General features: G+C 30.8%; 1 pseudogene across 1 annotated transcript in view; it reads right to left on the bottom strand.

The window, feature by feature from the left end:
• Positions 1–12,479, bottom strand: part of ADAM5 (ADAM metallopeptidase domain 5 (pseudogene)) — a 102,747-nt pseudogene that overhangs the window by 20,862 nt on the left and 69,406 nt on the right. The window contains exons 12-13 of the transcript NR_001448.2: positions 3,857–3,943; positions 3,131–3,245 (exon numbers count right to left, since the gene is read on the bottom strand). The product of NR_001448.2 is annotated as an ADAM metallopeptidase domain 5 (pseudogene) (transcript). The remainder of the gene's footprint in view (positions 1–3,130; positions 3,246–3,856; positions 3,944–12,479) is intronic.

Below are 12,479 nucleotides of genomic sequence, written 5' to 3'. Positions count from 1 at the left end.
TGTGCTTTGCATCAAGATAGCACACATATAATTTTTCAAATTGAGAATATTGTAATTGTGTTTTCTAAGAACTTGGATAACGAAAATAGAACAATTATAATACGAACACCAGCATGACCAAGATATCACAGATAAGGAGGCTAAATGACTGTATTTATTATTATTATTATTATTATTATTATTATTATTATTGAGTCAGAGTCTCACTCTGTCACCTAGTCTGGAGTGCAGTGTCATGCCCTCAGCTCACTGCAACCTCCACCTCCCAAGTTGAAGCAATTAGCTGATTTATGTTCTTTCTTTGAAAGTCTTACATTTATGTACCTTCAGGGTATATAATATAGGCTGAAAATTTTAAATAAAAATAGAAATTTAAATAAAAATAAAAATAAAAATTTAAATGCCCAGTAAAGGATTTTTATTTTTTTATTTATTATTTTTTTAAATTATACTTTAAGTTTTAGGGTACATGTGCACAACATGCAAGTTAGTTACATATGTATACATGTGCCATGTTGGTGTGCTGCACACATTAACTCGTCATTTAACATTAGGTATATCTCCAAATGCTCTCCCTCCCCTCTCCCTCCACCCCACAACAGGCCCCGGTGTGTGATGTTCCCCTTCCTGTGTCCATGTGTTCTCATTGTTCAATTCCCACCTATGAGTGAGAATATGTGGTGTTTGGTTTTTTGTCCTTGCGATAGTTTGCTGAGAATGATGGTTTCCAGCTTCATCCATGTCCCTGCAAAGGACATGAACTCATCATTTTTTATGGCTGCATAGTAGTCCATGGTGTATATGTGCCACATTTTCTTAATCCAGTCTATCATTGTTGGACATTTGGCTTGGTTCCAAGTCTTTGCTACTGTGAATAGTGCCACAATAAACATATATGTGCATGTTTCTTTATAGCAGCATGATTTATAATCCTTTGGGTATATACCCAGTAATGGGATTGCTGGGTCAAATGGTATTTCTAGTTCTAGATCCCTGAGGAATCGCCACACTGACTTCCACAATGGTTGAACTAGTTTACAGTCCTACCAACAGTGTAAAAGTGTTCCTATTTCTCCACATCCTCTCCAGCACCTGTTATTTCCTGACTTTTTAATGATTGCCATTCTAACTGGTGTGAGATGATATCTCATAGTGGTTTTGATTTGCATTTCTCTGATGGCCAGTGATGATGAGCAGTTTTTCATGTGTCTTTTGGCTGCATAAATGTCTTCTTTTAAGAAGTGTCCGTTCATATCCTTCGCCCACTTTTTGATGGGGTTGTTTGTTTTCTTCTTGTAAATTCGTTGGAGTTCATTGTAGATTTTGAATATTAGCCCTTTGTCAGATGAGGAGATTGCAAAAATTTTCTCCCATTCTGTAGGTTGCCTGTTCACTCTGATGGTAGTTTCTTTTGCTGTGCAGAAGCTCTTTAATTTAATTAGATCCATTTGTCAATTTTGGCTTTTGTTGCCATTGCTTTTGGTGTTTTAGACATGAAGTCCTTGCCCATGCCTATGTCCTGAATGGTATTGCCTAGGTTTTCCTCTAGCATTTTTATGGTTTTAGGTCTAACATTTAAGTCTTTAATCCATCTTGAATTAATTTTTGTATAAGGTGTAAGGAAGGGATCCAGTTTCAGCTTTCTACATATGGCTAGCCAGTTTTCCCAGCACCATTTATTAAACAGGGAATCGTTTCCCCATTTCTTGTTTTTGTCAGGTTTGTCAAAGATCAGATGGTTGTAGATATGCGGCATTATTTTTGAGGGCTCTGTTTTGTTCCATTGGTCTATATCTCTGTTTTGGTACCAGTACCATGCTGTTTTGGTTACTGTAGCCTTGTAGTATAGTTTGAAGTCAGGTAGCGTGATGCCTCCAGCTTTGTTCTTTTGGCTTAGGATTGACTTGGCAATGTGGGCTCTTTTTTGGTTCCATATGAACTAGTAAAGGATTTTTAAAGAGTTAAATTGCTATATTATAGGACTTTCTGTTTCTCATTGTAAACTACTGTTTACTGAAAATACATAATTCAAATAAACATGTATTTTTCATGTTATCATGTGAAAATAATAATATATGCGTATAGTTACAGGTTATAGGCTAAATTATTATGGGGTTTTTTTGTCTGATACATAGTTTGATGTGGCTTTGTATTGTCTCTTTAAAAAGTTGATCAACCTAGGTATGTGTTTATATAGCACCCAAGCTACAGATAAGTCTGCCCCAAAGTTTCAGGACTTTCTTGCAAGGTCCTAAAAGAGATGGGGGTAGAGGCCTGGCCAACATGGTGAAACCCGTCTCTACTGAAAATACAAAAATAAGCTGGGCGTGGTGGTGGGCACCTGTAATCCCAGCTATTTGGGAGGCTGAGGCTGGAGAATCACTTGAACCCAGGAGGCGGAGGTTGCAGTGAGCAGAGATCGTGCCATTGCACTCCAGCCTGGGGGACAAGAGCGAAACTCCGTCTCACACACACAAAAAAGAGAGAGATGGGGGTAGAGTTCGCAGCCCATCTATGCTCCCAGTTATTTTGGGTAGGCTCATACCTTCTAGAACCAGGGTATGCCCTTCACCACCAGTTGAGCCCAATTCATCTAGGCCTGATTAATCTCAAAATACTACTCAGGAACATCAGGACAGGATTAGAAAGAGCAAATCTCCAAAGATTAGCATGGAGCCCTTACAATGCAGGAGAAAAATAACCAATTATAAGTGAATAGGAAGAAAAGACAGCCTGAAAGATTCTAGGGGCATTAATATAATAATGACTATACTGACACTATTATAAACTCTAGTTTATAGGAGTTTATAATAAATATAGTAAATATAAATATAATAGTAAATATAAATATAGGAGATAATCCAAAGTGAACAGTTTAAATTAACTGGTCAAATTTTACACACCAAAATTTCTACTTTTAAAACTGCCTAACATTGGCCATACTTTTTCTCAGTAAAGAATGTCAATGCTGATATAGAAAGAACAGTATAAACTTGCACTGTCAACATTTTTTAAATCTTATAAATAAAAAAAAGCATGTTGACATTAGTTGCTTTGTAATCTGGCTTGAAACCTATAATTTACTATCTTACATACTGTGCATAATTAATACAATTTTAAGAACACTAACCAGTTGGTGGTACTAAGTGTCCATCATCAATACTTCCAAATGCTCCTTGCTTTGGTTGGCAGTAAGGAGGATTATATCCCTTTTCACAATGGCAATGGTTAAAATTGTTGCAAACCTTAAATAATAAAAAAAAGAATAATTTCGATGGAGACTAATGAATAATCTATACTTATTCCACAGAGTATCTCATTCTAGAGAATTTATCTAAATAGATAAATTTGTCAAATTTTCCCTTGCTAATGTTCATACTACACAAAGTACATCTATCTTGTGTTGTCAAATCAAATTTTTTTCTAAAAAATTCTTTTAACTCCCCCCATAGCCAGGCCCAAATACCTCAAATTACCAGTAACCTGTCACTAATTATAACCTACTTGCTAGCTGACAGCCCAGACTCTAAATTAACTTGCAGCACTAGCAAGAAAATTCTAATGGTCTTTATTTACCAGTTTCTATCTTCTATTGCTTATAGCACATCCTCCTCACATATCCATCAAACATTTAATATATCCAGAATCATCTTAAATGTTTTCTCTTTGTCTTCTTTAATAAATAGTTTGATAAGTTTCTTAAGAAGACAAAATTGAGGTTATAAATTATAGACTATTAAATGACACCAAATGACATAAAAATGGCAAACAAAAAAAGTCATTTATTTTTTTAAAATCCTCAAATTGTTTGATTGTTAAAAGCAAGTTGTTTAAAATAAACATTGCAGTTACTTACTCCATGACGATCACAATGATTAGAAGCATCACACAATTTTAAATTCATCAGGAATCTAACATGTTTACAATGCATTTCGAAACAATACTAAAAACAAAGCCAAAAAGTACAAAATAAAATCAGTCAAAAAATCAGATTTTGTGCCTGGCTAACACATTCAAAAATTCAAGAAAATATTAGAATTCATATTATCAAAAACTTGCATTAAAAAGCTGTGAGTGTCCAGTGGAAAAAAAAATTGTGACTACACTGAAGTAAACATGAAATAAACTATGTACTTTCAGTTTGTAAAGATGTAATCATATGTAAGAAGCCAGAGGTGTTATTTTCTTTCCATTTAGTACCAGAAGTCAACTTAGATAAACTACTGGGAAAAATAACTTGATTAGTCCTTTGAGTTCAAGAATTATCTGAAGAACATTTTAAAATATACCCATGTGTGGGCTCCCCTTGAGAGCATTATATCAAAAACTCTGGGGAGAGGATCCAGTTGTTTCTCAGGAGCAGCCAGGTTTGAGAACTATTGAGCAGAGAAGTGAGATCTTAAAATCATGAGTATGAGCAGCAAGGGAAGATAGTTTACTATTCCATATGATAAAATAAAAAGAAAGAGGGAAGAAAGGACAACAGGTAATTATATGAGGTAACAGGACAATGGGAAACTCCCTTGGTGAGCTGGATAAAAGGCCTTCTAAGAAAGAAAAGTTTCATGGATGAAATTAAATTTTTCTAATTTATGACATACATTTATGTGATCTTCTTTAATTATCAAAAAACTGTCACTAAATTCACCACGTTGTGAAAGAGTTTTATACCTGGAGTGAGTTTTGTCTTTGGGTCATAATAATGACTATATGCAGAAACAGGAGAGTCAGGACTCTGTAATGGAGGTTTGAGCTAATATCATTTAGATTTCAAGGGTAAGGGAGGCTTCAGATCATATTTGTATTCCATATGTTTCAAAATGAGCAAGAAGTAACAGGGACTCTGTTTCCTTTTTATGTGCTATTTATTATCAAAATGTTACTAAATAGAAATAAATTTGTATTTAGCAAGTCTACTCAGAAGCTTTCTCTCAAAAACAGTATGTTAATTTAACTTCACATAGTATCTTTTTGACTTAAATCAATTAGAATATTAAAATTGTATTAAATATATACTTAATTTATAGAATATTACATGTCTCCAATAATATTGCATAATTATTTTGTGCTATATTAATTGTTAATGTTGTTTTCATATTTTGGTATGTTAAATAAATAATAACAATAATGTGCATTATATTATAGTAGAACATAATAGTATAATAATAGTCAGTTTAAGTAAAGTATTCATCTACCAATCAGGAAAAAATCAGAGTCCATTATAAAAAGTAAAAACCAACATACATTTGGCTTTTCTATTGAAACAATAAATACAATTCAAGAAATGTTATCGCAAAAACCATGCTAATAAAGAAAAATTCTTGCTCACATAATATCTTACTCAACCAAAACTATTATTCATTTGAGATCTTCAGCTCTTGTCTAAAGATTTACTCACTAATAATGTATGCAAAATTATTAGATTATATGTCAGAACATCAAAAAATGTGTGTATAAAAATTACTAAAATGTTATATTACTCTTAAAAGAGGTGTGAAGATGATTAATAACATATACTGCTGAACTTTTAAATAAATAGGGAAAATGGAGAATTACCTAACTTTTCAATATTCTATTTAAACATTCTTTAAGAGGCCCACCTAAGGTCCACCTAAAGATTATTTAATCATTTGAGTGAAAATTCATACCATGTAAAGACATTACCAGGTGAATGGGTAGAACAAAAAGGAGAGATGGAAACATAACAAATATATTAGCACAGGAGGCTTGTTTGAATGTGCAGGTCTGAGACCCCATTCTCTATCCAGAGACATAAGGAAAACTGTGGGAGTGAGAAACGGGACCTGATGGAGAACTCCACCACACCTCTCCCCTACAGAGAGACATGCAGTTGGCTGGCCTGATGAATCTCCTATCCTTCCAGGAGGCACCAGCAAAGACCATGGAGAGCCCCAGTGGCAATAGGTAAACCAAGCCAACCAAATAATATTGTAAAGGCTCTGAACATTGAACTGCCTTTGGAACAGCCCACAAAAGAAGGCCAAGACCTAAACAAGATCACTTCCTGCTAAAACAGTGCTTTATATTTGACACAGAGTCTCCTAACATAATAAATACAATTTCTGGATGCAACTAAGTCATTCCAAGAGCTAAGAAAATCACAACTTGAATGATAAAAGACAACCAGCTGATATCAGAACCAAGATGATTCAGATGATGGGATTACATGACAAGGATTGTAAAGCAGCTATTATAAAAAAATCAATAATCAATTACAAATCTTCTTGAAACAAATAAAAAAATACAAAAATCTTAGCAAAGGAACAGGTGATATAAAAATAAACCAAATGGGAATTATAGAATGAAAAAATACAATAACCTAAATTTTAAAAAAAGCCAAGTGACTGAGCTTAAATCAGTAAACTTGAAATAGCAAAGAAATGTTTATCAAAAATCTTGGAACACCACAAAGGAAGAAAAAAACAGGGAAAGGAAGATGAGTAAATAAAATGGACTATCCATTTCTTTATAGGTTTTTAAAATTATAGTTAATGATTGAAACAAAAATTATAACACCACCAATGATACTTAAATGTAGGGAAGGTAAACACAACTAAAATGGGAATGAGGTTGTTTTCTCATTTCACTCAAAGTGGCAAAATGTTTATAGCAGTAGCCTCTTTAGGCCACATACATATATCATAAAACCTTGAGCAGCCACTATGAAAACTACAGAAAGACATGGCTAACTTAGAAACACTATAACTGGATCAAGATAGCATCCTAAAACAATGTTTAAATCACCCATTGAAAGGCAAGAAAAGAGAAAAATAAGAATGGGAACCAGAGGAAACAAATAATGAAATAACATACTTAGGCAATAACATTATACCAACCAAAAGACATGCCACACTGTATTGAAGGCATGACTCAACTCTGTGATGCTTTTAAAAACTCACCTCGAATTCAATGGCAGAGATAGATTTAAATAAAAAGGACAGAAAAAATATATCATTCAAACATTTATCCATAAAAGCAGGAGTAGCTATATTTATATCTGATACAGTAGACTTCAGAGCAAAGAAAATTACTAGAGACAAATGAAGACATTATGTCATGATATGATAATCATTCCAACAATAATACACAGTTCTCCTAAATGTCTACATCCCAAACCACAAAGCCTCCAAACATAAGGCAAAAAGTAATAGCACTGAAAGGAAAATAGACAAAGCCACAATTGCAGTTGGATATTTTGACACCTTTGTCTCAGCAATTTACAGAAATTATACAGAAAGTCAGCAGATATACAGGAATCTGGACAAAACAGGATTTAACTGATGCATATACAGGTCACTACAACCCGTATCAACAGAATATACATTTCTACAAGTGCCTATGGAATATGCAGCAAGATATATCATACTCCTTACCATAAAGAAAACCTCAACAAGTTTTTAAAAATTAAAATTATGAGAACATGTTCTCTGATAATAATAAAATCAAACCTGAAATCAATAAAAGAAATACAACAGGAAAATTTCTAAATATGTTGAAATTAAACAATACATTTATAAACAATTCATGTATCAAATAGCCCTCAAAGAAACTAAAAAAAAATACATAGAATCAAAGGAAAACAAAAATATACATTAAAATATGTAGGATGCAGCTAAAACAGTTCTGAGAGGGAGATTTATAAGACCAAATGCTATAAATGAGAAAAAGCCTCAAAGCAATCATTGAAGTTACCACTTCAAGAAACTGGAGGAAAGGAAGAAGAAATTAAACTCAAAGCAAAAGAAAGTAAACGATAATAAAAGCAGAAATCAATGAAATTGATTGCTAGTTCTATATGAAATTAAAAGCTGGAAAATAATAAAGAAAACCATTATAACAAAGAGTGGAGTCTTTAAAAATTTTTTATGAAATTAATAAATTTTTTATGAAATTAATAAATTTTTAGCTAGACTGAGAAAACCAACGAAACAAAAAGCAGATGCTTTGAAAATTTTTTATGAAATTAATAACTTTAGCAAGACTGAGAAGTTAAAAAAAGAAGACAGAAATCACCAATATCAGAAATGAGATAGAGGATATCATTGCAGATCCTGCAGCCATTACACAGAATTATAAAGAAATACTATGAACAACTTTATATTTATAAATTCAGAAACTTTGAGGAAATTGACCAATTTCTGGGAAACTATGAGCAACCAAAAATCACCAAGAAACAGCTTATAATCTGAAGACCAATACAACAATTGAAGAAATTGAATTCATAGTTTAAAACCTCCTAAAAAATGAAATTTCCAGGCCCAAATGATTTCACTAGAGAATTCTATCAACATTTAAAGAAAAAAATTAACATACATTTTACATAATCTCTTTCCAAAAATAGAAGAGTGAAAAACAGTTTTCAATTAATTTTATAATGCCATATAAAATGACCAAAATCAGATAGATACATTGCAACAAAAAAAAAACTACAGACCAATACCCCTCATGAATTTGGTTACAAAGATTATTCAACAAAATATTAGCAAACTAAATGCAACAATGTATAAAAAATTTATACACAATGACCAAGTGATATTAATACCAAGTATGTAATGCTGTTTCTACATTTAAAAATTGATTAATGTAATCCAACATTCAATGAACTAAAGAAGAAAACTCATGTGACCACATCAATCGACACACAAAAAGCATTTGACAAAATTCAAGACACAAGTATAATAAAAACCTGCAATAAATTAGCAGTAGAAGACGGTTAGCTCAACTTAAGGGGCATCTGCAAAAAAGAAAAAACCCTACATCTAACATACTTAATGATGAAAGACTTAATACATTCCTCTTAGATTAGGAAAAAGTCAGAGACATCCTCTCTCAACACTCTTATTCAACATCATACTGTAAGTTCTAACCACTGCAGTAAAGCAAGAAAAAGAAATAAAACATATACAGATTGAAAAGGAAAAAATAAAATGGTCTCTATTTCCAAATTATTTTCTACATAAAAAAATCCCAAGAAGTCCACAATCAAACTCCTACAACTAATTTAACACAGGACAGTTGCAGGATAAAAGAGCCACACCCAAAATTCAATAAGAAATGGGGAAAGGACTCTCTATCTAATAAATGGTTCTGGGATAGCTGGTTAGCCAAATGCAGAAGAATAAAACTGGACCCCTACCTTTCACAATACACAAAAATTAACCGAAGATGCATTCAAAACTTAAACCTAAAACCTGAAACTATAACAATTCCTGAAGAAAGTCTAGGAAACAACTCTTCTGGACAAAAACTTAGGATTAAAACCCCAAATAGAACTTAGGACTAAAACTCCAAAAGCAAATGCAACAACAAAAAAAATAGATAGATAGGATTTAATTAAACTAAAAAAGTGTCTACATAGCAAAAAAATAACAACAGAGTAAACAGACAACCTACAGAATGGGAGAAAATATTTGCAAACTATGCATCCAACAAAGAACTGATATCCAGAATCCACCAGGAATGCAACAACTCAACTGAAAAACAAATAATCCCAGTAACGAGTGGGCAAAGAACATGAACAGACATCTCTCAAAAGAAGATATACGAGTGGCTAGCAAACATACGATAAAATGCTGAGCATCACCAAAGATCAGAGAAATGTAATTTAAAATTATGATGATGCCCCATCTCACACCAGTCAGAATGGCTATTTTTTATTTTTTATTTTTTTAGAGAGAGTCTCACTCTGTTGCCCAGGCTGGAGCTCAGTAGCACAATCTCTGCTCACTGCAAGCTCCACCTCCCGGGTTCACACCATTCCCCTGCCTCAGCCTCCCGAGTAGCTGGGACTACAGGTGCCTGCCACCAGGCCCGGCTATTATTTTTGTATTTTTAGTAGAGACGGGGTTTCACAGTGTTTACCAGGATGGTCTCGATCTCCTGACCTCGTGATCCACCCTCCTCAGCCTCCCAAAGTGCTGGGATTACAGGCGTGAGCCACCGCGCCATGCCTCAGAATGGCTATTCTTAAAAAGTCTAAAAACAACAGATGTTGGTGAGGATGTGGATAAAAGGTAACACTTATAGATAATTATATATATGTGAAGAAAAGGTAACACATATACATAATTCATGTGGAGAAAAGGTAACACATATATATAATTCAGGTATAAAGGTAACAGATATATAATTCATTTATTATATATAATATATAATTAATTATATAAATATATAATACATAATAAATGAATTATTTATCTAGATATATAAAGATATTTATATATCTAGATATATATCTTTATCTTTTATATATAAATATCTTTTATAAATATCTTTATATATCTAGATATATAATTCATTTATTATATATAAGAATTCATTATATATAATAAATTACATTAATTATACAATATATAATATATGCATTTATCATATACAATAATTAAATGAATTTATGTTATACATTATTTATGTATTTATATTATATACATTACTGTGTAGTAATTCATGTATTATATATCTACATATCTAGGTATATAATTAATTTATTATATATTATTTATATATGAATTTATTATATATGAATTATATAATTCATTTATTATGTATGAATTAATATAATGTATTATATATTATATTGTATACTATATATTATATTATATTAATATATAATTTATATATATTAATATAATATAATATATAGTATACAATATATTATATAATATATTGTATACTATATAATATATTATATAATATATATTATATTATATATTAGATAATATATTATCTAATATATTATAATATATTAGATAATATATTATATATTATCTAATATATTAGATAATATATTATATATTATTTAATATATTATATAATATATTATATATTATTATAATATAATAAATATATATAAATTAATTTAATATATAAATATATATTTATATATTAATATATATTATATAAATATATAATATGTTATATAATATATTATATAAATAAATATATAATATATAAATATATATATAAATATATGATATTAATATATGATATATACATTTATTATATATTATGATATATAATAAATGAATTATATATCTAGACATATAAGGATATATAATACATGAATTATGACATAGCAATAAAAATAATTAAATCATGTCCCATGCAGTACAGCAACATGGATAAAGGTAGACATCATTATCATATATGAACTAACTCAGAAACTGAAAATCAAATACCATGTGTTCTCACCTGTAAGTGGAAGCTAAAAAATAGGTACATATGGACATAAAGATGGAAATAATAGGCACCAGCAACCCCAAAAGTGAGGAAGAATCAGAGGGTTAGAGTTGAAAAATAACTGGAGACAATGTTCATTATTCAGGTGACAGGCACACTGGATGTCAAAACTTCACCAATAACTGCACATGTACCTCCATGAATATATAAAAATTTAAAAATAAATTGTTTAATGTATCAAAAAATTTAGAATAATAATTTCTAATAAAAAAGTAAATTAAAAATTTGGAAAAATAATCTAAATAAAACTGTAAACTCCACAAAGCTATAGAAATTAAACAAAACACTCTTAAGGAACCAGTGGATCAAAGAAGGAATCACTAAGGAAATTAGAAAATACTTACAAACAAATAGAAATATAAACACAATATCCCAAAACTTATGGAATGCAGTGAAAGAAGTACTAGGGGGAAGATTTATTAGTATAAATGCTTACAATAAAAAAGAAGAGAAATTTAAAATCAACAACCTAACTTTACAACTTAAGGAAATAGAAAAATAAATAAATAAATAAACTAAATTCTAGCAGAAGGAAGGAAATAAAGATTAAAGTGGAGATAAAATACAGAGTAAAACAATAAACTTAAGGAAACCAAAAATTGGTTCTTTGAAAAGATGAACAAAATTGACAAACCTTTATCTAGATGTACTAATAAAGACAGAAAACTCAAATTACTAAAGTCAGGAATAAAAGTGAGAACATTACTACCAATTCTACAGAAATAGAAAGGATTATAAGAATACCAAGATCAATTGTTTACCAATGAACTGGATTAGCTTGATAAAACTGACAAATTCCTAGAAACAAAACCTATCAACACTATGAAGAACTTAAAAACCTGAACAGACTCCTAACTCATAAGGAGATTTAATTAATAATTTAATTAATTAATTAATAATCATAAGCCTTCCTATGAAGAAAATTTCTGGACATAATGCCTTCAAATATGTAAAGAAGAATTAACACCAGTTCTTCTCAAATTTTTCCAAAAACATGAAGAAGAGGAAATATCTTCTAACTCATTTTATAAGGCCAACATTATCCTGATATCAAAGCCAGACAAATATACTACAAAGAAAAAATACAGACCAATAACCATTATGAACATAGATGCAGAATCCTCAGTAAAATGCTGGCAAACTGCACTATATTAGGAGTATACACTATGACCAATTGAGATTTCTGGAATGCAAGGATGGTTCAATGTATGATAGCTGAT

This window comes from Homo sapiens, chromosome 8 (assembly GCF_000001405.40).
Source record: "Homo sapiens chromosome 8, GRCh38.p14 Primary Assembly".
NCBI lineage: Eukaryota > Metazoa > Chordata > Mammalia > Primates > Hominidae > Homo > Homo sapiens.
The sequence above is the reverse complement of the archived record's forward strand: the minus strand, read 5'-3'. Positions and strand labels throughout refer to the sequence as shown.